The following is a 26,523-nucleotide window of genomic DNA, read 5'->3' as shown; positions in this document are numbered from 1 at the left end:
TTGCTGATTGGGTTTGGACTTTAAATGGCTTGCTTTGATTTCTGTCCCATGTTTTCCCTCAAGTAACACTTTTAAAAAGAAGCTGTTATCAAGTTTGCTTTTAGAGAGAGAGAATTCTAATCAATTTAGGGAATGAGTTAGAACTGTCAGAAGTTGACTTGGGAACATCTTGTATCATCAGTCCTTTCCCCTTTGAAAATATATAAACATTTAGATACTGTGAGTCTCAAAACAAGTACTTTAACCATGAGGGCCAACACAAAATGTTCACCTTGCTGGTCACCCCAGAAATTCCACAGACTTTGACCTTTTTCAAAGTACAGACATGTTTGACAGACATGTTTCCTCAAATCCAGACATGTTTAAAAGGTGGTGAGGGCATGTTTCCTTGCTAGCGTGTTATGGGAGAAGGTGAGATGAGGGAAGAAAGAAAAATTAAGTATCCTATTTTGCATTTTTTGGCATGTCAAAGTTAGGAGTATCTGCACCACAGTGTTGGGCCTTTCCTTTTTCATGCGTACCTCCAAGGAATGATGCTTCCTGGCAAGTAAAAATTGGATGTCTGTGACCCAGAGCCTGAGCATTGTGTGAAATGGGCAGAGGGCCCAGATTGTGGCTTTTTTAATCCTGTCCATGCTCCCTCAAAAGGCAGCTGCTTCCTTTGTGCTGTGGACATTGGACATACTTGTTAGATCATGATCTAAAGAAGGAAATTGTAGATAATAATTAACGTGTCTTCCATTCTTTCATGACAAATAATGATAAAAATAACTGATAATGTTAATTATCATATAATATGTTATGACATGTTTAGGACTATAGACTTTTAATTTTTTTAATTTTCAAACATATATAAAAGTAGAATGAACCTCATGCAGTTTAATTGTTGAAGTGACCTGGCTGCAGCAGTTAACAACTAACTCATAGCCAGTCTTTCTTCATCCATATCCCCACCCACTCTGTACTCTTATAGTTTCTATCACTGTAGATGCATTTTGCCTGTTCCTGAACTTTATATGAATAGAATTGGGCCAGGCGCGGTGGCTGACACCTGTAATCCCAGCACTTTGGGAGGCCAAGGTGTGTGGATCTCCTGAGGTCAGGAGTTCGAGGCCAGCCTGGTGAACATGGTGAAACCCCATCTCTACTAAAAATACAAAAATTAGCCGGGCTTGGAAGCACATGCCCATAGTCCCAGCTACTCAGGAGGCTGAGGCAGGAGAATCACTTGAACCTGGGAAGCGGAGGTTGCAGTGAGCCAAGATCACGCCACTGCACTCCAGCCTGGCGACAGAGTGAGATTTCGTCTCGAATGAACGAATGGAATTGACAGTGCATGCTCTTCTATAACTGGCTTTTTTGTTCAATATAATATCTGAGAGATTCACCTGTATTGTATGAGCAGTTCATTCCTTCCTGCTTTTCCACCACTGTATCCTCCAGTTCTGGTTTATCAGCTCCTCTTTTGACCAATTTCTGAGCGCAGTCCTGAGCTCATCCCCTTCTGCCCTCTCAGTTACCCTCTTTGCACATCTTCACTCTCCCTAGTTTCTCAACTCTCCTCCTCTGTTTCTGGAAATGCTCCAGTGCCAACCATCTCTGAAACAACCCTCCTGCCCCTGAAAGTTTCGATACAATTCCTTGTCTTGACTACACTGCCAAATTTTTCTAAATATTCCTCTGTAGTCACTGCCTGGTCCCTGAATTAATAGTTCTGTGTTCAGCCCCTTATCATTTGACCTCCATTCCCTTCAAGCTGTGGAAACTACTCAGCAGTCCCCAGTAACTCCCAGTCATCTGTGAGCTGTTCTTGCCCTCTACTTCCTTTTACCCCGTAAAGTGACTAATAACTCCTCCCCCTGGTTTTGTGAATAACAATTACTAGGTGTTTTTCTTTTCTTAATCATAAAAGTATCATATGTGGTTAAAGAGCATAGAATCAGGAGCCAGGCTGCCAGGATTAGAGTGCTGACTCCTCCATTAACCTTCTTTCTGACCTTGGCCGTGTTCTAAGTGGCTGCCTCCCTCAGTTCCCTTAATTCTAAACTAGGAAGAACAATGGGAATAACCTCATAGCATTGTTTTGAAAATTAAGTTAATATCTGTAAAGCCCTTAGAACAATGCTTGGCAAGTGTAAGTGGTATATAAATATTAACTCTTAATTCCAAAAAATGAAAAACTCACAACTACCAGAGTACATAGAAAACAACACTAAAAATCCCCTAAAATTCATACAACCTGGCAATAGCTACATCTTGAAGTACATTCTTCTGTTTTCTTGGTATAATATGTTTTTAACTAAACGTATTTATACAGCATTAACTTACCCTTCCTCCCTAACACTCCCTCTGTTTCCCTACCTTTTGTGAGGATGTTGCCCTGTCCAGGGTGGCTTCCCTCAGCCTGTCTCTGCTCCTTTGAAACTGCCCTACTATCCCCATCCAAGTGAGAAAGGCTCAAAGCCATCCTCTGCACTTTTCTTCATGCACCCCTTGGAAATCAACAGCCATTTCTGGGCTGTCACTCCCATTCAGCCCCAAGAATGGAGTCTTATTCATTCTTACATTTTCACAGCTCTCACATCCAGCTTTTAAAAAATTTTTTGCATTGTAATTGCTTCCATCTGTTTGAAATCTCATGCACTAACTCCTAATAATAATGATGTTTGATAGATAGATGAACACTGGGTGGTTTCTATGTGCTGCCTCTTTATTATTTAATCATTACAGTCCTGTGAGATAGGCACTCTTGTTATCCTGTTTTACAGATAGAGAATCTGAGGGCTCAGGGAGAGTGATTTGTTCAATATTATACAACATTAAGTGGCAGAATCCCAATTGAACCCAGTTTCATCTGACCCCAAGCCCTGACCATGTTGCCTGCTCCTGAACCTTGTATGGAAATAGTCTACTTTGTCTTTCACTGTCTCCCATTTCTGTTCCACCCTGCATAGGAGGTTGCTCAATCATTTTCCCCACAGTGTTCCCTTATGCCTGCTTTTTCTGCTCAGAAACCTTTGGTGGCTCCCATTCCACATGAGAAAGTTAACTTTAATCTGCTGTCTACCACTCCCCTCAGTAACTGTTTTGAAATTCTCCCCACCCCCACCTGTCAAGTTCCTACCCTTCAAGGATTGACTCATTTAAGACCTCTCTCCTCCATCTGTCTTCTGGCTACTCAAGTCCTCACTGACCATCCTTTCTCTAAGCACCTACTGCTTGCCTTTGGCATGTTTTACTGACCCACTTACATTCCTTATTTATGTGCAGGACTCAGTCCATCGTGCTGGAGTTGTAAGCCCTTTAACCACCAGCCCAGTCGCCCACATTCATTGTTTGTTGGTGAAGCCCAGCCCCAGCTGGCGACTGCAAATGTCAGCGAGCTGTACACACTCTTCTCTGTCCTTTCTCAGCCTTTTTCTCTCCTGAATCCATTTCTCCTGCCCCTTCAAGAAGCTGACACAACTCAACACAGAGGAATGGCTCCCTAGGAATTTAATTTCTCTTCTCCTAAAATGGATGCAGCACCATGTGCCAGTTGCCTCATTTTCAACCCTCCCATCAGGTGTTTGGGCTTTTCGGTTTCTTTTTTTTTAAGTGCATTCTAAGGAAGTGGGTGAGCTCCTATTTGCTTAGCAATATTAGAAAGCATGCCCTCTTCTTAATGTGGGTCAGATGCTAGGGCTTTAAGACTAGAATCATAAATATCTCTGTTGTTCTTTCTGTGTTCTTCTGCTTTGTCAGCCCACCAAGAACTGGGGGTAGATTAGCTACATTGTGGGCAATATCCAGGGTAAAGGATTCCATTTCAGACAACCTCCAGCCCTGCTCAGCCAGGGGAGCAGAGAGCAGGAATGCTGATGGGAAGGAATCCCAGTTGGTCACGTAGGGAATTACAAGTTGTCTGGGTTTAGGTATCAAAAGGGCCACAGACCACTTCATCACAGATAAGAGGTAGAGCCCTCAACCAGGGAATTTGGAATATTCTGCCTCTTTTCTTAGGCAGATTGATATTATGTCCCTTGCCAGGAATAACCTTCTTAAGATGTAGGGTCTGTCTGTGTATCCCCCATTCTCAGCTTAGTCCTAGGATAATGCTAAGAATATGGATCAATCTTGGCTTAAATAGACTGATGCTAATTTACTTGATAGCTGGATCATCCTTCTGTTGAAAAGCTCTATCTAGAAATTACCTCCTTCTAGTGGGGTGGTCCTTAAGCTTTAGGGAGCATCAAAATCATTCATAAGGATTGTTAAAACAGACTGCCAGGCCCACTCCCAGAGTTTCTGATTCAGTAGATCTGGGATGAGTTTTGTGGATTTGCATTTCTAAGGGGCTCCCAGGCGATGCTCATGCTGCTGGCTGGTGTGACCACGCGTTTAGAACCATAGCTGTAGCGGACTTCCTTGCTGGAGTCACTCCACTCTGGGGCTCCTTCCTTCACACATGCTTAGCACCTTGGAGTACTGTGAACCTGTGTCCTGGATATATTCTTAAGTTGTTTGGAAATATTCTCTCACTTCATATAGTATTGTTTGCTCCTAAAAGCAGTGAGTTCTTTTAGGGCAGGAATTTTTTTCTTCTGCTTCCCTGATCATTCCCACTTCCTCTCTGCAGGCTCAGAAGCTTTCTGAGGGATGCAGGAGGCCTGCAGTGTGGAGTGATGGCTAGGAGCACCAGGCTTCATGTCAGCCCTGGAGCTTATTAACTAGGTATCTCTGAGAGCTTCACTTGGAAAATGGGTTAATAAAACTAACTTTACCATGGTCTTAAGAATATATTATTAATCAAAATAAAGACAAGGTTCAGAGCAATGTGTATAATATGCTCCCATTTCTATTTTTAAAGACAGATATAAGCATAATCATGTCTATATATGCATGGGATGTCAGAAGGAAACAGGAAAAGCTGATAACAGTTGTTGCCTGGGAAAGCCAGGAGTACCAGGAGACCTAGTTTTTGTCGTATAACCTTTTAGACTGTTTAAATTATTTGCTCATGTATATATTCTTTTAGAATTTGAAAACTAGTTAATGAATAATAGTAATGCCTTTATCAGGGATGTTGTGAAGAGTAAATAAAATAATTTTATCTAAAGCCCTTAACACAGTGCCTGGCACAGAAAAAGCACTCTAAATGTTAGCTTTTGTTTTCAATATTAAATAATTGCTGAATTTATCCATTCATCTATTCATTTATGGATAAGCACATGAGATATCTGGCTCTCCTAAGCCAGCCATGCAGATATCAGCAAATCTTTTGTCAGCCGTCTTGCTATACTAGTTAGAGAGTAAAACTTGTTTGTAAACGTCATTCTTAGTGTTGACTGTAAACACATGTCTGTGTGTTACTGGATTCTGGTCCAGCAGAGCACAGAAGGGGCTAAGTTCCACTCCTTCATGGGTCCCCATCCGAGGGCTACTCCCCATGGGCCCGCCTTCACCAGCTGAAAACTTATTTGGGGCACAGGATGAGTGTGCATGGTCCCTTGGAATCTTGGTGCCACACAAGTGGCCATCTCATGCTGGAGGTGAAAGTTCAGAGCACCAGCAACTGGCCCTAATCAAATGCATGGAAACATCAGAAGCTCCACCCAGGCTTCTCAGAGCTGTGCAGGCCACCAAGCAAGTGAGCATCTGTGGGCTCAGAACAGTCAGTATTTCACGGGATACTTGTAGGAAGGAGCAGCAAGGTGTATCCTGTTTCTAAGAAAACAAACACTGGGCACGCAAACACCCAGGGTGCGAGACTCAGGCTGGCTGATGTGTTGGTTGCTACATCGCATGTCTTAATCTAATCCAGTTTTAATTGAGGCCTCATTCTCCACATTAGTCAATATGAGAGAAGATGGCATGGGATAACTCAGCTGTCTGCTTAGGGCATGGCTTTAAAGTCAGATATCTGGGTTGAAATCCTCTTTCTGCCATGTAATAGCTGTATGATCTTGGGCAAATTATGCAACTGTCCTGAGCTTTTGATCTCAGTAGGTATGATAAACCCAACCTCCTATAGTTGCAGAAAATATCAAATGAATTAGTATCTGCACAGAGTACTTGACACAGTAGCTGGCATATAGTAATGAATAAGTGTAGTTGCTATATTATTACCAAGCCAACAGTGGGAAGACAATATTTATACACAGTAGGCACTAAATAACATACAATTAACCATTGAAATAAATGGTGTTATAGACCTTTTTGAAAGCTTGACGGTGGCTATAAATCTTGTCCTTCGGAAAACAAAAAAAAGCAAAACATAAGCACACACACCAGATTTTGCATACAGTTTTAGGGCATTAGTGCACAACTCCCCATGCCCACCTTTTGCATTCATGACCCACCCTCAGGAATCCTTGAACCCATAAGATGTAAGCATGTAGCAGGAATTCATGAAGGGAATTAATTACTATAAACAAAATTAATTAGGGAGACAGACCGTCCTTGGAAGAGGTGATGTGAACTAGGGCCTACAAAAGGAGAATTTAAATAGGTCAAGAGAAGAAGACAGAGAATTGGAGTGGAGGCTCGCAGGTGAGACTTTAAACACAGCCCATGAAGCCAGGAAATGGGGTAACACTCCCCTGATACTATGACAGTATAGCAATAGAGGTTCTGCACCGGGCCTCTGGAATCAGCCTGCCTGGTCTCAAATCCCAACCAAGCAGCTTGCTAGCTGTTTGACACAAGACACATATTTAACCTCTCTGTGCCTCAGTTTCTTCGTTTGTAAAATGGGCATGAAAATAGAGCTTACCTCACAGGGCCATTTGAGGATTCAGTAGGATAATGTATTGACATTGATGGGCATATAGTAAGCTCTGTGTAGAAATTAGCTGCTTTATTATTAGGATTTTTATTATGGTGGCAAAAACATTAGAGAGGATCTTGAGTGTGAAGCCAAGCCCTTTGGACTTTTCCTGGGGGTTCCTGGGAAAGCCAGAGAGGACCAAACTGAAAGGGGTACTATATCTGAGCATAGTGGTCAGGGTAGATCAGATTGAAGAAGGATTAGGGGCAGGAGTGCTGTTACAAGGCTCAGGCGGTAGCCCTGACCTGAGCTGCAGAGAGCCAAGACTCAGGTAAAATAGAAGACAGGAGAATGGGGAAAGTTAAAATGGGTTGGGGGTGGGGGTGGGTTGTCAAAGTGGAGAATTTAAGATTTTCAGAGTCCAGAGTTTCAGGTCACACTGTCTAGTAAGGCAGCCACTATCATGTCCAAATTGAGATGTGCTGCAAGTATAGAATATTTATCAGGTCTCATAGGTTTAGTACAAAAAACATTTCAATAATATTTACAATGATTACATATCAGTTTTTTCATATTGGGCTAAATAAAATTAATTTCACTTTTTTTTTTAATATGGCTACTAAAGAATTTTAAATCACATACGTGGCTCACATTTTTATAGGACAAAGATGGTCTGAGGAGTTAGAAAGAGGGCAGAAGCAAAAGGAGGCCTCTGTGACCAGGACAGTGGTGGTCAGGTTGAGGGTAGACGGTGGTGTTTCATTGGGTTTTACCTGTGTTGTGTTTGAAGCAACTGTGGACCATTCAAGCTTAAAATTAAACAGGCTGTCATTTACACATTGGAATTCAGGTGAAGGGTCAGGGCTGCATGTGAAGTGGGTTGGTCATAGCTGAAGTCATAGGGTGGAGAGAGCATCATCTGCCTTTCCTGAGGACCAGTGCATGTCAGGCACGTGCTGAGCAACTCATATGTGCTCTCTCAGTTCATCCTGTAACAACTCTTTAAGGTAAGTACTATTGTTATTCCTTCCCATTTTACAAATGAGCGAATGAGGCCCAGAGAAGTACAGCAACTTAGCGTAATAAGTGATGAGCCGGGATTTGAATTTATCTGGCTATAAAAGCACATGTTCACTGTGCTAGAGTTCCAGCCCCTGAGAATACCTACTCAGGAGAAGGAGCGAGAGCTGTACCAAAGGAATATCACTGGACAGGGCAAGAACAGGAGAGTCTAGCATCACTGATGCCAGGGAGGAGATGCTTTTCAGAAAGCAATGGCTGTTAACAAAATCAGGCTTTTGTAGCAAAGAAGTATGTTAAATGGTAAGAAAAATTTCAGTCTGAAGAACACTTAATCCTGTAGGTTAAGGTAATTAAAAGAAGTTAGAATTTTTGCTTATTCAGAGCTTTGAAAACTTAAGCACAGAAAAAAAGTAGTGTCCTTTTTTTTTTTTTTTGACAGAGTCTCACTTTGTCGCCCAGGCTGGAGTGCAATGGTGCAATCTTGGGTCACTGCAACCTCTGCCTCCTGAGTTCAAGGGATTCTCCTGCCTCAGCCTCCCCAGTAGCTGGGACTATAGGCATGCACCACCACGCCCGGCTGATTTTTCCTTTTTTTAGTAGAGACAGGGTTTGGCCATATTGGGCAGGCTGGTCTCAACTCCTGACCTCAAGTGATCTGCCTGCCTCGGCCTCCCAAAGTGCTGGGATTACAGGCATGAGCCACCATACCCGGCCGAGTAGTGTCCTTTTAAATTGACATTTTTTAATCCCCAGGCAGGAATAAACATGGGGAGGATCAAGAGGCGGAGACTCTGATCATACCATAAGCCATTTCTTCAGAGGACCTATATCAGAATCATCTAGGAGGCCTTTGAATACAGATCTGTGGGCCCTTCTCCAGCCCTACTGAATCAGACTTTCTTAAACAAGTGCCCCAGGTGTTCTAGACACACAGTGAAGTGAGGAACTCGCTGCCCAGGCTCTGCAGCTCACTCTCCTCTGGATTTATTGCCGAGGATTGGCTCATTCTCATGGATCCTTGCCAACTTCTCTTGGGCACAGGAGAATCATCTTGTGTCTTTAGCAATATTCCTATGTAGAATCTGGGGCAGTTGTTCTTAGAAATAAGAACAATTGATTCTCCTTCGCTTGGGTCTTCTGTCAAAGCCACTTGCCTTCACGCTTCCTGCTGATTTGCTATGGGGATAACCTGTCTGAATAACAGCAACCCCTGAATGGAGGCCATGTCTTCTGTATTCAGTGCTTCTGGCTGATACTTGGCCTCTCCTTTCTCCCAGCCCCTTCCTTGTATTCTTGCTGTTCAGAGGCAGGCAACAAAGGGTGGTAAGTAAGACCATGATCTTGAGAGCCAGGTAGCCCTGAGTCTCTGCCATGTAAATCTGTGTGATCTTGGGCAAGAATTTTTTAACCTCTCTCTGCTTCATCTGTCAAACAGAAATAATAGGATTCATCTCTTAGAGTTGTTGACAGACTTAAATGCAATGCTGCATGGAATTTACTTACCTGGCACAGACTCAGCACTCAGTAAATGGTGGTAATTGTCAAAATTAATCATTATAACTTATTATCTTTATTATTATTATTCAGGGACATGTACCCTGGATGGCAGATAAAATCAACTAATGAAAGACACCAGATAGGGACCTCAAAAGGATTTCCAAATCTGAAAGCCTGCTGTTTTTACAGAATGAGCTCTGTTGAGGTTTTCAGAGAGAGGTGTTCTCATTCTTTCTCATTCTGCTGATTGTGAACCTATGTAAACTTCTCTTTGTAAAGCTCTAGACACTCTGTCTTCCCTACCCGAAACCACATTTCCCACCTCTCTGTGCAGCCCCTCCTCATCTCTCCCTCTCATTTGCCTTGCCTGTAAGCCAGCAACATGTTCTCTTTTGCTCTTTGCTCTCATAACTATGCCAGACCAGGGCAGCACTTGCAGCTGACCGCAGGTTCAAGCACCCTGGCCTCATAACCTGCAACTTTGGGGAGAAAGAGAAAGAATTTTATGTCTTAACTCCTTCCTCCCTTCAAGTTTTAGAGTTTGGGATGTCCAGCAATGATGGCATGGTAATAATCCAAATAATAGCTAATATTTATAAGTTATTTGCAGTTTACAAAGCAACAGATTTAACAATTGTGAATCAGCCAAGGTTCAGTCACAGCAAACAGAAGGTGATCTTGGCAAAGTTAGCAGAATGAGCTTCAATAAAGAGAATTAGGTGCTTGTACAATCATTGGAAGGGGCTGGAGGAGCAGGCCCACGATACAGTCCCTGGGAACAACTCCAAGACACCACTGCAGAACTGCCCACGGGTGCCCAGTGGGGAGTAGAGACTCAAGAGGCTGCTGCAGCCATGCAGCTTCTCAGTCCTGTGTTGCTAGTGACTGGACACTATGATGCCTCCACTTGCCCTAAGAGCAGCTTGCCCACCACCCTGCTTGTCAGCAGAAATAACCCAAGCATCAAGAAACTGGCCTCCTCACTTCTACCTGCCAGATCGCTCCTAAACGCATTGAATTGACAGAGACTGTGTCATCTGGAGCTCTAACATCAAGAAAACCTGAGTGTGATAGTGTGCTAGGAACGCCATAACAAACTGCCACAGACCAGGGGGCTTAAACAACAGAAATGAATTTTCTCACATTTCTGGAAGCTAGACGTCTGAGATCAAGACATTGGCAGGGTTGGCCGCTTCTGAGGCCTCACTCTTGGCATTTATTAGTAGATGGTCGAGGCCAGGCACAGTGGCTCACGCCTGTAATCCCAACACTTTGAGAGGGTGAGGCGGGTGGATCACGAGGTCAGGAGTTCAAGACCAGCCTGGCCAACATGGTGAAACCCCATCTCTACTAAAAATACAAAAATTAGCCAGGTGTGGTGGCGGGTGCCTGTAATCCCAGCTACTCGGGAGGCTAAGGCAGGAGAACCGCTTGAAATAGGTGGAGGCTGCAGTGAGCCGAGATCGCGCCACTGCACTCCAGCCTGGGCAACAAGAGTGAAACTCCATCTCAAAAACAAACAAACAAACAAAAGATGGCCGTTTTCTCCCTCTGCGTTCACATGGTCTTCTCTCTGTCCCCATCTATGTCCAAATTTCTCGTTCTCATAAGGATGCCAATCATTTTGGATTAATGACCTCATTTTAAATTGATTGCCTCCTTAAAGACCCTGTCTCCGAGTACAGTCATGTTCTGAATTACTGGGGGTAAGGATTTCAACATATAAATTTTGGGGGACACAATTCAGCCCATCCCACTGGAAGATGTAGTTTTCCACTTTCCAGCCCCGCAGTCCAGTGAGGCATGCTAGGAGGAGGGTAGAACTGCTGCCTGGCTCCAGTCCATTGAGGAATGCAAAGTGCTGGGTGTACTTCACACAGTGTGTAAGAGGATGCAGATACTAAACACTCGGAAACCAAGTATCCTTTGTGTTTATTACACTCACATACTTATTTTATCTGATGCTCTTTAACAGTTCTTTGAGATAGGAAAGTATTGTTATCCCCATTTTTCCAATGAGAAAGCTGAGGCTTAAATACGTTATCAGTCCTCTCCCAAGGCCTTAGATCTGGGAAGTGGCAGGACGGGAGTGAGCCCAGATGCCCCCGGCGAATCCCTGAATGTGTCCCTGGAACTAAATATCCAAGGCATAGTGTAAAGGCAGTGCCACAAGTTCAAATAGAGGGCCTGGCAGGTGTACCAGCAAATGCTTGAAGGGGCAGCTGCTGCTCAGATCCAGCCCAGTTTTATAGGATTTTCTGATTTTTCCAGAAGTCTTCCTTTTAAAAGGAAATCTCTCCATTTTTCAAACGTTGACATTCAATTTAAAGTTAAAACACACACACACAATGGAGTTAACACTGTATGGGGCCCAACCAAACACATCTGCAGCCTGGATTTAGCCTGCAGGCTTTGATATAAATAAGAACTGCTCATGAAAATAGAGGAACTATTCTTAAGAACCTAACTCTGCCTACTCAGTAAGGCCACATTAGATAGCTGTTGCTACCTGGTCACATTACCTTGAAATTCTTCTGTTGTTTCTGGAATCTTTTTCATTTCCCACCAAGCACATGTTTTTCATCTTGTTAGTGAGCCTAGGGGCCGGCATTTAGTAAACATTTGTATGTGCAAGGGAAGGTGCTTCTGTTTCTCCCCTGACAACCCTATGAGGTCTGCATTGTAGTCCCTCTTTTACAGAAGAAGAGGCAGATAAAGAGCTAGAGAAAGACATTGAAAGTTGAAGGCAAGACCAGAGAGTAAGTGGGAGCCAGTGGCTTTTTTTTTTCTTTTAACCTGCTCTTTTATTACAGCCACATGGGTGTGTTTGCTCATGAAAGTTGGCTTCACTCCAGTGATTCAATTACTGGCCAGGCCATAATGGCTTGTGATTCAGACCCTGGGGCTTCCTGGTGCCTTCCTCCCAGAGTGTGCTCTGTGACACTCTTTCCATCCCCACCCTGCTCTCCCTGCTTCAGGCCCCTCTTGACAAAGATGAAAATACCCATATTTCCCTAATGGACCATCATGTTCCTAGGAATTTCTAGGAACCTGAGAATTCAGATGAAACACAGCATTAAAACCAATGCGAAGTATTTGAATAGCTAAATACTACATGTGTTTATTCAAATCTGTTACCCATATGCAAAAATGAAAGCAAGGCTGCAGAAGTGATAGCCAGAGTGTTATCCGACTGGCAGTCTGCACAGGCATGCACAGGCCTTGGCCCTTCTGGGTGGGATAGAATACTTGGTGGCTCAAGATCTGCAGATGCTAACTTCAGTCCTTGTCTAGGAGCCGAAACTGTCTTGTTTAGCTTGCATGCATGAGAAGGGAGGTGTTACACAAACACAAGGCAATCAGCAAGCCCCCTACTTTAGGTCACCGCGTGTCAGTCACCCCTGATTAAGAACCACATAGTGGGCCAGGCGTGGTGGCTCATGCCTGTAATCCCAGCACTTTGGGAGGCCAAGGCAGGCGGATCACCAGAGGTCAGGAGTTCGAGACCAGCCTGGTCAACGTGGTAAAACCCTATCTCTACTAAAAATACAAAAATTAGCCAGGCTTGGTGGCAGGTGCCTGACTCCATCTCAAAAAAAGAGGGGAAAAAAAAAAAAAAGAACCACATGGTAGAGCATTCACTGATGCCCTGAGTGTTTATGAATCAAACTAATTGGAATTAATCCTTTCCTTGGCGCAGTGGGAAGGGTGGCTTCTAGAATGAAAAGGCTTACGAACTGGGTTAACTTTTTTTTTTTAAATGGGGGTCTCGCTCTGTTACCCAGGCTGGGGTGCAATGGTATGATCACAGCTCACTGCAGCCTCAACCTCCTGGGCTCAAGCGATTCTCCCACTTCAGCCTCCTGAGTAGCTGGGACTACAGATATGTGCCACCACTCCTGGCAATTATTTTTGTTATTATTTGTAGAGACTAGTTTTTACTATGTTCCCAGGCTGGTCTCAAACTCTTGGACTCAAGTGTTCCTCCCACCTTGGCCTCCCAAAGTGTTGGGATTGCAGGTGTGAGCCATCGTGCCCAGCCTGGGTTAACTTTTGAAGCAAGATTTTCTAACTTTGATTGCCTCATCTAATAAGAAACCTTTCAGGATTATAGTGAGGCTTCATGGAATAATGCATATGCAAGCAACATGTGTGCTCACAGGTTCCATACAAATATCAGGTATTGTTTGCCTTGGAAGCTATTCTTGGTGTAAGAATAAAGCAAGCTTTTTATCTACCTAGTAGAAAAAACAGCCAGACATCCTCACCACTGAGGGAAGACCAAAGAAAACCCTCCAAAGGCACAGAGATATTTGGAGATATTTGTTTCCCCAGGCTTTCTATCTTGTTGTGCACAGCCCAGCTGTTGAGGAGCTGCAGAGCAGCTGCAAGTCGGAAGGAAGTCCTTAGCTAGAACTCCAGCTCCTGTAAACACCTCTGCCTCTCAGGGATCACACAGTGGCCCTCTTTGTGCAGCCATGTGGCAACTCAGCAAACCAGAGGCTCCTTAACTTGAAACGGTCTAATTTTGATCTGCTTTCTCCATAGGAAGAATGTTATGATCAGAAATTATCTTCCTTTCCAGTGGCCCAGTGTACAGCTTTTTCTAAGAATGACCATGAAGGAGTTCAGGAAATGCCACCCAAAATATAACACTTTGGTGTGCTGATTACTTTGAACTGAGGACACTTGGGGAACAGCAGATGTAGGCAGAGGCATTCTCTGAGCTCCCCTTATCGGCCTAAAGACAGATCCTCCAAAAGGAACTTAGTTGTCACAAATATTCTCCCAGAAATCTTATCAACTGGGAAAGATTAACTCGGATCCCAAGAGGGGAGACTGGAGGTGATACCACACCCAGACAGACTGTCACCTCTTCTTCCGAGGGCTGCTGTGAAACAACTTGTATTAACTGAGAATTTCTGTGTGCATGAGAAAACCACCTTTATTCACCATTTATCTCTTCCCCTTACCTCCCATAACTCGTTGCCACCACCCCCCCGAGAAACCCTGAACTCCCATTCTTTTCTGTAGCTCAGGATCCTATGTGAGCTTTCATCATCTGACCACTTTGAGTCTCATATTTGTGGCACTCCCGTGTGTACATACATAATTAAATACAGTTTTCCTCCTGTCAACCTGTTTATATGTCAGGTTAATTTGTAGCCCAGCCATAGAACTGAGAAAGGTAGAGGGAAGTCATTTTTCATTCCCCTGCAATCACAGTTACCCCCATTTAATCGACTTCCCAAAGCAATTGCTATACAATATTCATAGAAAGTTGTTTGTGTTTAATAAATCTATGAAGGTGTAAAAATTACCTATCTCCTAAACTTTAATTTGTATTCTGGGTGAGGCTATCCATGTTTGTACCAGCAGATGAGAAGGGACTTTCAGAAGAGAAATTGAGTTAGGAGCCTGAGAGGGGTAGCAGAGCAGGAGAAGGGGCTAGGCTATGCCTGAAGCAGAAGGGGTTGTCTAATGGCTTGTTTAACGTTTTCTCTGTGAGGGCAGGAGCTGTGTGCCTGTCCTACCCATTTATTCTCAACATATTGTACTTAGTAGCAGTAGTACTCAATTAAAAATGTGTTGCATGGACTTTGTCGAGCCTGGGACCAGCAGGAATACCCCATTGGAAGGGAGCAGGGAGCCTCTGAGTAACGAGGTTGGAGAAAGCCCTCTGAAGAAGCAGGTCTGAACGCAGATATCAGAATGAGGGAAAGCTGCAAGAAGCCTGAGCTGGCAAGTGTGAATCATGAATTGCTGGCTGTTTTTAGTCTTGACTATAATATAGTCAGGAAGTAAGAAAGACCTTCATGTACTAAATGCTGAGTGTCTCGCCAACTTTAGAGGGACCTACCCGAGCATTTTATAAATATTAATAGAGTCTGACTGTAGACTGCTTGCCAATGGCCATGCCGGGTGGGAGCAATTACTGGTCCAGTCCTGATATGTGTGAACTGTTCTGCAGTTACTGGAAAACTTGCTCAGGCCTTGGAAACTTTATGCCCTGGAGATTGGGAAGAAGAGAATGCTTGACCTTATCCTCATGCAAAGGGAACATTTAGAAAGTCCTTAGGGTGCAACATAGAAACCACAGGTCACTGAGAAAGGGTGTCATGTTCGCATTCTGGGGGCCTCAGAACCAGCGCCAGTTGGAAGGGGAGCCCAGTTTTACTTGCTGCAGGGAACTATATATATATATAACTATATATATAACTATATATATATAACTATATATATAACTATATATATATAACTATATATATAACTATATATATATAACTATATATATATAACTATATATATATAACTATATATATAACTATATATATAACTATATATATAACTATATATATAACTATATATATATAACTATATATATAACTATATATATATAACTATATATATAACTATATATATATAACTATATATATAACTATATATATAACTATATATATAACTATATATATATAACTATATATATAACTATATATATAACTATATATATATAACTATATATATAACTATATATATAACTATATAAAAATATATATATAACTATATATATAAATATATATATAACTATATATATATAAATATATATACAAATATATATATATTTATATATATATATATCTGCAACTTGCTGTGAGTCAGAGCACTGCACACTGTTCAGGGTGAGGTTGCCTACTTCCTCAGTTGCATTTCAGAGGCTCTGTTAGTAAGTGCTGGTCTGGGAGCACAGAAAGGGATTGGGCCAGGCCACTCGGTGTGAGCAGAATCAGAGAGACCCTAGGCCTCTCTTTTGGGTGGGGCAGGGATGACTGAGGAATCCGAGGAAGAGGTAGCTACTCTGGGAATGTGTTGAAATGAGCTTGTCCAAGGCTTAGCACAAGGCAAGCCCACCCTGCCCTGCCACATGCTTCATCCTCCTAGTTTTCTGTACTGCTAGAGCTTCCTTATTCCTAGGGAAATCCTCTGATGGCTGTCACTAGTCTTTGCATTGGGCTCTGACACTAGTGGCACAAATTGCCCAGGGACTCTAAAAAGGGCTGGTGCCGATAGCCCCACCCATACCCGCTCAATCAAAACCCTTGAGGCTCATTGACCACTTGTTGGGGAGGTGCAGAACAAACAGGTAAACAGGGAACTGCAATTCACTGTGCAGTATGTGACCCCCAAGGATAAAAATACTAGCAGCTGCAGTTCATGGAATGCCTTGGTCCTATGCAAAACACTTGATGTGCAACGGTAAATTGAATCCCCCCAAAAAATCCTTTGGAATGTGAAGGTTGCTTATTAGGCTGATTTCAAAATTTTGCACACAGTTAAAAGCACAATTTTATTTGTGCATTTGACCCAAAACTTCCTCTGACCACAGAGGCTACAAGCCCTACCCAAGTCGTAGAACTCGGCCTTTGGGAATATTCTAAGTCTGGTAGAACTCAGTGTGGAGCACCGTGGTGCCCACGTGATGGATGCCCTGGAGTCTGGGTTGCTAGTGTTTTTTTGCAGCTTTGTCTGGTCTCGGCCTTTATGGCAGAATTACATTATTCAGCTGTAGCCTCTCCAAAAGGTTGAGTCAGCCTGGGTTTGCTGCTGGCGCCACGGAGCCCTAAGACTTTGCTGAGCCCTCACATAGCGCCGGGGAGGCACACCTACTGTCCACCTGCTCCCATGAGTCATAAAACTGCCACACTGCTACCAGGCCTGCCAGCCCTGCGTTTTCCTTCAGTTGCCACCCTGATGAGAATGAACTTAGCCATATAGGTCAGGGCACCAGGCAACACTTTTCCCCCAGCCTGCCTTCCTCTTGAAATGTGCTATTGGACAACCAGTTTGTAAAGCAAGGGCCAGGATGTTTCTGTTTCCATTGCTTTACACCAGGTGGCTAAGGAGAGAGGGCAGCAGGGCAGCCTAGAGGCCAACAGCTCAGGCTAGAGAGGAGAATCAATCCACGAACATATGATGGAGTAATAGGATTAGCAAGTGCCCAGACCATCACGATGAGACCAGGGAGAGGTCAAAGGAGGGAATAATAACGTTTTATTAATTATTTCAGACTGTAGGCTACTCATATATCCCACCTGACATTTACAGTGGATCTATCACGGAGAGTCTCCACTGAAAGTTTTCACTCTTTCATGAATAAAGACTTCCTTATGTGCCTAACACTTTCAAAACGATTCCACATCATGATAGTGTCTAAAAATAAGCACCCTTTATTCAAAGTTCTCTAGAGGAGCTCTCTTCTCATTTTCTGTTGCCAAGTCTTTGATCAGCCTAATAGTTGGGGGCAAGAGCCCAAAAGAAATGAAATCAAACCTTCTGTGAAAGTAGGTAGCAGTAATATTAAACTGACATGTAATATGCCTCCCATAGCAAATGCTCACTTTTGCCACAGGTCCCCTAAGTGCTACAAGTGTTTGCGTATTTGTTTCCTCTTAGGAAATCCTAGAAAAGTCTAGTTTTGTGTTATATGTTGGGGTGCATCGATTAAACTGCTAGTGCTGGGTTTCTGCAAACTAAAGATTTATGTAGGTGCTCAAATGGATGACAAACTTAGATACCTAGGTCACCACTCGAATTTCTAAGGGGTGTTTTAGTAACTGCCTCCAAGAAGCTGTGATGACTAGGAAAATCCATCTATTTCCCTTTAAGTAGAACATATTATTATGAATGTTTAAATAACTTAAAGATGCCTGTTACTTGTCTTTAAAAAAAATTCTCCTCAGATTTCAGGTAAAAACAATAATTGAAGATGTCCAGCAAAACAGCAAGCACCAACAATATAGCCCAGGCAAGGAGAACTGTGCAGCAGTTAAGATTAGAAGCCTCCATTGAAAGAATAAAGGTAAGAAGCCCCGACTGGATAACATATGCTTTCTGCTCAGTTCCCCCTGTTCCTTGTGGCTGGACCACTTGTCAGAGAAGATAATACCATTTCATTCCGCTTGCTTCCAGGATTTTTCCAGAACAGGCTGAGAGTCTCAAAATCCTAACTTTCATTTTCCTATATAGCATGGGCCTCACTTCAAAAGTGTCTGCATTAGCCTCTCTGTTTGTAAAACTCTGGACAGGATTTCCTAAGGACCTGTCTCCCCTGAATGAACATGGTCAAGTCCGTTGATCCCTGTGTTCTAAAGTGGGACAGGGGTTCCAAGTAGACTTCATAAACACCCTAGTCATTCCTTTGGAATTTAAGTGTTCTAGAATTATCAGTGCAGCTGAGGCAGCTTCACGTAAGAAGTCAGCAGTCTAGGTTTCCTTTTTAGGGAAATGAAGCTTTTAAATGTGTTTGGCCCTCAGTGACCACTTTCTGTGCCCAGAGTAATAATGCGAGCTTTAGTTGAGATCCCATAGAGAAACTGGAATGCATTTCTTAGATCACCTGACTTCGAAGTCTTTTCCCCTAAATCCCAAGAGAGAACTAGGCAGTGAGTGCCCTGGAATGTTATGACTAGTTCTTCCTTGAAACTGAAGCAGTTGGCCAGGCGCGGTGGCTCACGCCTGTAATCCCAGCACTTTGGGAGGCCGAGGCGGGCAGATCACCTGAGGTTGGGAATTCGAGACCAGCCTGACCAACATGGAGAAACCCCTGTCTCTACTAAAAATACAAAATTAGCCAGGCACGGTGGCGTGCGCACGCCTATAATCCCAGCTACTCGGAAGGCTGAGGCAGGAGAATTGCTTGAATCTAGGAGGCAGAGGTTGCAGTGAACCAAGATCGCGCCATTGCACTCCAGCCTGGGCAACAAGAACAAAACTTCATCTCAAAAAAAAAAAAAAAAGAAAGAAAAGAAAAAAGAAACTGAAGCAATCACTTGATCCATTCCTCTGGGCCTGGAGATAGTCACCTGTCTTCCCAGCATGAGGCTATCTGGGCTGTGCTAGACAGGGCTCAGCTGCCCCATTGCTCTTTGCTTAGGGCAAAGAGATCCTATTCTGTAGGATCTCCCTCCCAGACTTCTGAAACAGGGCATGATATTTTCCGTGTTTAATTCATGCGGGAGTAAGGTACTGCCTCTTCCCATGCTGGTTTCGTCTCTCTTTTTACTTCCGCAAGCCCAATCTCTAACAGTAAATCCTGAAGCTCCACAACTTGGCTCCAGAGTTTTGGCTCCGAGCCCATCGTTCAGTTCTTAAAGTGTGTTCTGCATTCCAATCTGTTTTTTTCTGGGTAGAATTTAAGATACAACCTTCCCTTGATTCACATATGCTTTTTCTCACCTGGCCCCTAACTTTTTATTTTGAGACATTTCAAACCTGCTGAAGAGTTGTAACAACAAACATTTATAAACCGTTTACCAGGATTCACCAGTTTTTAACATTTGACCACATGTACTTGCTTGCACTGTCTCTCTCCCTCCTTCTGTCTGTACACACATACACACAAAACATATATAATGTCTTCTTTAAACCCTTGAAAGTTATTTGCAGTTCAGGATTATCTAATAAGAATACCTCACACACAGTCCATTTTTGAAGAATCCAGGCCACTTATTTTGCAGAATCACCCTCACTTCGGGTGTGATCGTTCGCTGATTGGACTCCAGTTCAATGTTGGACAGGAATGCTAGCTCATTAGCTGGCGGTGTGTCCTCAGCACTCCCATGAAGGGATACATGGTGCCAGTTTGTCTGACCATTGTTAAGTTGCTTGGTTAAGAAAGACCTTACCTGCCAAATTGCACCATTTTAAAGGTACCATTTCCTTTTTATACCTGACAAGAATCTGAGAGTGATGCTTTGAGACTCTGATTATCTTGTTCAAATCAGTCTTCCATTCAATAGCCTAGCATTCAAATACGCTCTGAAAGTGTGCAAGTAAAATATTTTCTTTCTTGTTTGTTTGATTTATCTCCATGTCAGGTTTCGAAGGCATCAGCGGACCTCATGTCCTACTGTGAGGAACATGCCAGGAGTGACCCTTTGCTGATAGGAATACCAACTTCAGAAAACCCTTTCAAGGATAAAAAAACTTGCATCATCTTATAGTGGAATAGAGAAACAGCTCCTCGCCTCTTCCCAACAACGCAAATTATGAGCAGCTCCTTGAAGAGATTTACCTTCAGCTTATTTGGTAACCACTGCTAATAACTAAAATGTTCTCAGCTTGGAATAATGGACTCTGAAGTCTCTATTTTCCAAGTTGTCCTTTCTCTTAAAATACCCTTTACTGATTTAATACAGAATAACAATCTTATTTTCCACTTGGTAACTATGGCTTTATGTTGGGTTACTGTTTAAGGAAAGTTGATCTGGGCCTTTTTAAAAACATAATTATATACTTTAGAAATACAAGGGATTCCGATATGTCAGGACCTAAATGGCCTAAGCACCTGTCAAATTAAAATTCCAAAATTCATTGAAATCCTAAAGCCTTGATATTATATTCTTTATAAGGCGTGTGCCAGCCTGTATAGTATATAAGAGAGAGGGGTGTTTGTGTGTATATATATATGCCTTTGTGTATACACTTATCAAAGCTATTTTCTTATGAAAACGTCCCTCTCTCCATACCATCAGTTTCTCAGTTCCAGAAGTTATACCTTTATTTTGAGCTGTGTATAGGTAGAATAAAAAATTCCTTTCATATCGTTATTGTACAAAAAGTAAAGAGTATCCTAAAGATTGTATTCATTGTAATCAAGTAATGCAATCATCTCTCCTCTCTTGAAATCTTGCTGGACCTCTTAGGCTACAATAAACTGTACCAAACTAAACTGACAGTCCTTCGATAATATGAAACATTAATTTACAAGGACCCGTTAGGGCTTCAATGATGCTGAGTCTGGAAAAGGGGAGGAGACCCTTGGGAGGACTCCAGGCAGCTGTGCTCCCAGGGCTCATGTTCTCTACTGGATTAGGGATAGGCACCTCTGAAATCTCCACCCTGATGATTGGAATGAAACGGAGTGAACATGAGCCCAGCTGAGAGAGGAGCAGGAATGTGTGAAAAACAGCTGCTCTCCTTGTCCCAGCTTTGTGATTGAGCCCTCTGTCTTGCTCTCTCTGCCTTCCCTGTGTCTTTCTTCTCTTACCAGAGCATCTGTTTGCAGAGGTAACATTACCTTCCCCAGCCACAGGTATGTGGAATACGGTGAGGAAAAAAAAAATTAAAAAAAAAATGCAAGCTGTCAGGATGCTTAAGCTCTTTTCAGACATCTGCAGTTTCATCCCTACCTTGTTCACATACCATCCAAGAGGCACATAGGCTACCCAAGAGAGCCTTGGATTCAGTGGTACACTCCTTGGGCCCAAGGGCTTTAGCAGCTGGATATGGGGTTCCTTGATTTTCCTCTGGGCCCAAATATAGCCCTCACACTCTTGGAATTTCCAGGTATGGGGGTAGCCCCAAAAGGAGGAATCTCCTATGGCCAATAAGGTATCTTGACTTTATCAAAGTAGAAGAGAGGGTCACTTCGGAGTCAAATCATACACTAGGCCTTTGATGCTTTAATTCTTCTTCAGTTCATTAAAAGTAACTACTAAGGAAAGGTTAAAAACTTCCCCTCAAAAAGGAATCAACCCCAGGAAGTAATTATTTACAACGATTTTCCCAAATTTTGTACAATCTGTCCTGGAAAGCAAACCCCTTTTAAAATCTAATGTCTGGGCTTTGAGTATTAGCTCATTTAGGGTGGACAAATGCATTACTGTTTTCAAACTGCTCACATTTATTCAGTATTTCTCCAAGTTGCTATCTACTCAGCCTTATGAATGCCCCTCGCTTTTCTAAGGCCATGTGAAAATCACGGCACTGCCCTTAGCCTTGTGTCATCTGCTTTTTCGTTCTGCGATATGCCCAGTTCCCAAATCAATTATAGGTACCTGTTTAGGAGAGAGGAAGATTTTACCTCTCAAAGGGTGAGATTTGAAATTTACACTAAAAAGACAACTTTACATTTAATGCTTCACTTAATGAGACATTCTTTTTTTTATAAGTCTATTTTTCTACTCAGTTTCAGAACACTAATCTGATTTTCACTCTGATTTTTAACGTTTCTTTAAATATTTATAATGTAGCTTCTTTCAAAATATTTTCATGAAAAATTACTTTTATTATACCATTATGTGCATGTTATTGGTAGCAGGCATAGTTTATTATTTAGTACTGAAACATGCTCTTTTACCTAACAGTAAACAAGTATGTTTTGATATATATCTGTTAATATGCTTATAGTGGTAAGAAATGGACTTGAGGTCCCAGGAGATTTCATTTTATTCACCCTGGTCAGATACAATAAAGGCTATGAGTATAAATACATAACTTCCTAACCAGGTGTAGGGCATGTTCATGAATATCAAATCTTTTGATGCTGGACCCAAGAGAGGAAAAGTTGTAGCTAAATGTTGATTTACTTATAACTAGACGTCTATGTGAGAAAATATATGTATACATATATATGATATGCAGAAGTCACTTTTTTTATCAGGCTTTATTCTCCTTACAAAGCCACAGTTTAACTGTCTGCAACAGTTGGTTTATGTTAATGATAGACAAATACCCAGTGTTTGTTACTTTTTCCAACTACCACTGTAATGATAATCTTTCTCACGTATATACATGCAACTTCTTGGCTTCATTTCCATGAAGCTGTTTCAATATATTCAGTATACTTTGTCCTTAATGCTGCTTCTGTTAACAGTGATCTCTTTCTTTTTTTCATTCTTATATCTTCATTAGTTCATCATAAATCTGTCCAGTTGAGGCCTCAGGACCACGGCATGATTTCATGACTCCGAAGTATTTTACAGAAACATTTTTTAAATAAGGGAAATATTTTATATACCAGATGGTTCACAAGTGATGGCTCATAGCTAGTTTTTTTTTTTCTTCTAAAAAATGTCAGGTTTTTAAAATCATTTACCTTATTAAAATGAAAAGTGCCATACTTAACTTTTAAAGGAAAGACCTGACTTGCTTTTTCTCTATTTAGACTGTTTTTGTACTTTACTAATCTTTAAACTATCAGGAAAAAAACCAAAACTTTATACCAATGATTTAGTAATTTTGAGGCATAGGGTAGCTTACGTAGTGGAGGATGTGCCAAATATTCTCTTCAAATGCCACCTTCTCAATTTATAACTAAAATAGTGTTATCTGACTAATTCCTCTGAATTTTGATGTAAGATCTATATAGGCCCCCAAAATGATCGTAGTACATGCCAGTCATTTCTCAGTGAAATAAATACAATACCAGAGTACATTATGGGTTTTATTGCTTTCTTTTATGGTAGACCTGTTAATGGGGAAAAAATACATCAAATCAAATAGAATCTTATATCTGTATGTTAAAATAGAGCACTTACCTGAAGTCAGTGGCCTGGATCATAGCCCTGGATCATTTCCCAGTCTGTCCTGTGCTGTGTGACCTTGGACAAGGCGCTTCATCTCTCTGGGCCTCTATTTCTCCATTTGTAAAACAAGTGGCTGCAGTAGATGATGGCTGAGAGCCCTTCCTGTTCCCAGATGCCTTGGTCCAAAGACCCCACCCCTCTGCTGGTCCTGCCAACGTGTTGGTGCTATAAGCTGCTTCAGATATAAAATTGGTTTATCTATAATGTTTGTTCATTTAATAGCTTCTAAAAGGCCTTTTTGTTATACAGTGCTTTTTTTCTAGTTTTATGGACTTGGTTACTGTAATAATGTCTTGTTTTTAGCCATGTAACTACAAACAGATATTCTCTTGATGTCTTAGTAAATTTGCATTTGATATATCATTGATGAGATTTTGTTGTTATGTAATATTCTTTGGCTACGCATCTGTCCAGCATCTTATTAACCATAATACTGTGATCATTATTTGGAAATATGTCCTATGGAAAGAATAAAAGCATGTACTTCACAGCTAGCATGTTCACAGATTTGAAAGAAGTTTCATTAAAAGCACCATTGCTTTCTGTACTGCGTCAGTGCCTCATTGTATCATCCTACTTGTGTTTTGCTCAATAAATGAATAAAAGACCATTTCTCTTCCCCTTTCCCTTCCTTCACTCAGTTAACATTTTCTGAGCACCTCCTGAGAGCAAGCTGCTGAGAGTCAGGCTCCCATGACACCCAAATGAATAAGACTTACACCAGCCCATGTCACAGTCTGAGCAAGGAGGATGGGAATGACAGATATGTAAACTAATCATCGTAGTATCATGTGGCAAGTGCTATAACTCAGGTGAACACAGAGTGCTGTGAGAGCCCAGAGGAAAGAGGGACTAGCTCCACATCAACAAAGACCTCTAAAAAGGCTTCCAAGGGTGGTGATGTTTGGGCTGAGTGAGAGAAGAACAGTATGCGTTGGAATGAGGTCCTGGGAGGAGATGAGAGGAGGAGAAAAGAGGACTGGAAGCCAGTGTGCAGAAGACCCCCGATCCCGCCCTCCTATCCTGCTTGCCTATCCTGAAACCAACAGGGGAGCTAGAGAGGCTGCTGAGGAGTGACGTAATGACTCTGACCTGTGGAGGGCTGTTTCCCATCCTGAGACTAGCTGAGGTAGTGGAAACTGATAACAAATGGAAAGGTCATTAGATGGTGGTGACTCATATTCACTATGTGTTTGCTGAAGGTGCCCTGCCTCCTCTTCTGCCCCTTCCCCCAGGGCTGGGATTCCCACAGAGATGAGGGGAGGGCAAAATCATCAAAGAACAAGGGCGGGAGGCAGCCAACAAGCCCCAGGCTATGAACCGGACACGCTGCAGAGATGGCCCCTGCTTCTGAGAGCCAGCACTCCACACTTACAAAAGGTAGGGGCAAAAGACAGTCCCTGGGCCCTTTCTAGTAAAAGACTGAAGGATTTAGATACATCGGTTTTGAAAAAGAGGCAACAACTAACAAGCACTTTTTACTGCTTCTGACCAAATTACAAAGTTCTTGTAACTCTCAGTGGAGGAGAGTTGGGGATGATGGATGGGATTGGGTAGGGGTGAGTTTTTAAAAGATGGGGGAAGGGAAGGTAATGAAGCTGGAAGAGGCAGATGAGATGTATACTTAGCCTTAACATGGACAAGAAACCCAGGCCTGCGGGTAGTGATTGGAACTCAGTGTGGAGATGCATGTCATGGGGCTTTCCACCTCTTCTGGATATGTGCCATGATCAGTTTTTCCCTGGCACGAGGGTCAGTTACACATAAACACATGGATATTCCCTCTAAACCTTTTTATTTGGGGCTCTATAATCCTTGTTTGGGGCTAGGCGACCGTCTTTTGAGTATTTGTCCCTCATTCCCTATGCCAGGATTATAATCTGTTGGCTTAAAACTCTGACCATGGCCGGGCGCGGTGGCTCATGCCTGTAATCCCAGCACTTTGGGAGGCCAAGACGGGCGGATCACGAGGTCAGGAGATCAAGACCATCCTGGCTAACACGGTGAAACCCCATCTCTACTAAAAATACAAAAAATTAGCCAGCCTGGTGGCGGGCGCGCCTGTAGTCCCAGTTACTCGGGAGGCTGAGGCAGGAGAATGGCATGAACCCGGGAGGCGGAGCTTGCAGTGAGCCGAGATCGCGCCACTGCACTCCAGCCTGGGCGACAGAGTGAGACTCCGTCTCAAAAAAAAAAAAAAAAAAAAAAAAAACCTCTGACCATCTTTGTGGAGCCTGGTCCCACCGTCAGTTCTAGCTGTCTTTGCACAGCCTGGCATGGCTAGGGCCTTGTGCTTGTTTTCAGAGCGTGACCATATTTGCTACTGTACCCCTTTACCACTGTGAGTAGCAAATAACTTTTGCCTTCAGATGAGCCCTCTGTTACCCTAATTACTTTCTCTTTATCTGAGTCATTTAAATCCATGAAGGTCGTTTAACTTTAGGCCAGCCCTGGGCGACGTGCAGTTAGTCAAAGGAACCCTCACCTCAATTGCCCATTTTTTTCAAAAACTTTTTCTGCCCTGGAGGAAAATGCAGTCCAAGTAAATTTATGCTAATGTGCAAATGAATTAATATATTGGCCTGTGGAGGACCACTGGCACTGTCAAATACAACTCTGGAGAGAGTGATACTTAGCACAAAGAAATGGAAGTTCATAGTAAAGTTTAGGCATCACTGAGAATTAATTGTACATATGAAGCATTCCTATACCCTTTAAATCCTCCTAGACAATCTATTGAATGATGAAAGCACTTAACTGAAATGGTTGACATCCATAATGGAAGATGCCAGGTTTGTAAGTCCAAGAGATTTGCAGCTGAGACATCTATGTGCACAATGATACTTTTTATTTTTATTTATTTATTTATTTATTTATTTATTTATTTAT

The 26,523-nt window shown here is 42.5% G+C and overlaps 1 protein-coding gene across 4 annotated transcripts in view, besides 2 other annotated features; it reads left to right on the top strand.

The window, feature by feature from the left end:
• Positions 1–24,244, top strand: part of GNG12 (G protein subunit gamma 12) — a 131,993-nt gene extending 107,749 nt beyond the window's left edge. For all 4 annotated transcript variants that reach the window (NM_018841.6, XM_047425406.1, XM_047425415.1 and 1 more), the window contains 2 exons: positions 18,007–18,125; positions 20,143–24,244. In NM_018841.6, coding sequence (NP_061329.3) covers positions 18,033–18,125; positions 20,143–20,268 — 219 coding nt within the window. In that variant the 5' untranslated portion in view covers positions 18,007–18,032 and the 3' untranslated portion in view covers positions 20,269–24,244. The remainder of the gene's footprint in view (positions 1–18,006; positions 18,126–20,142) is intronic.
• Positions 12,019–12,313: a silencer, noted in NCBI's record as "tiled region #6234; K562 Repressive DNase unmatched - State 5:Enh". NCBI's record gives its function as "represses a minimal TATA promoter and a strong SV40 promoter by Sharpr-MPRA in K562 cells {active_cell/tissue: K562}" and the evidence as "EXISTENCE:reporter gene assay evidence [ECO:0000049][PMID:27701403]".
• Positions 16,896–17,396: an enhancer, noted in NCBI's record as "H3K4me1 hESC enhancer chr1:68174006-68174506 (GRCh37/hg19 assembly coordinates)". NCBI's record gives its function as "activates a minimal SCP1, AML or CMV promoter by ChIP-STARR-seq in naive H9 embryonic stem cells {active_cell/tissue: H9 hESC(naive)}" and the evidence as "EXISTENCE:reporter gene assay evidence [ECO:0000049][PMID:30033119]".
• Positions 24,245–26,523: the final 2,279 nt, after the last annotated feature.

This window comes from Homo sapiens, chromosome 1, assembly GCF_000001405.40.
Source record: "Homo sapiens chromosome 1, GRCh38.p14 Primary Assembly".
NCBI classification, from domain to species: Eukaryota; Metazoa; Chordata; class Mammalia; order Primates; family Hominidae; genus Homo; species Homo sapiens.
The sequence above is the reverse complement of the archived record's forward strand: the minus strand, read 5'-3'. Positions and strand labels throughout refer to the sequence as shown.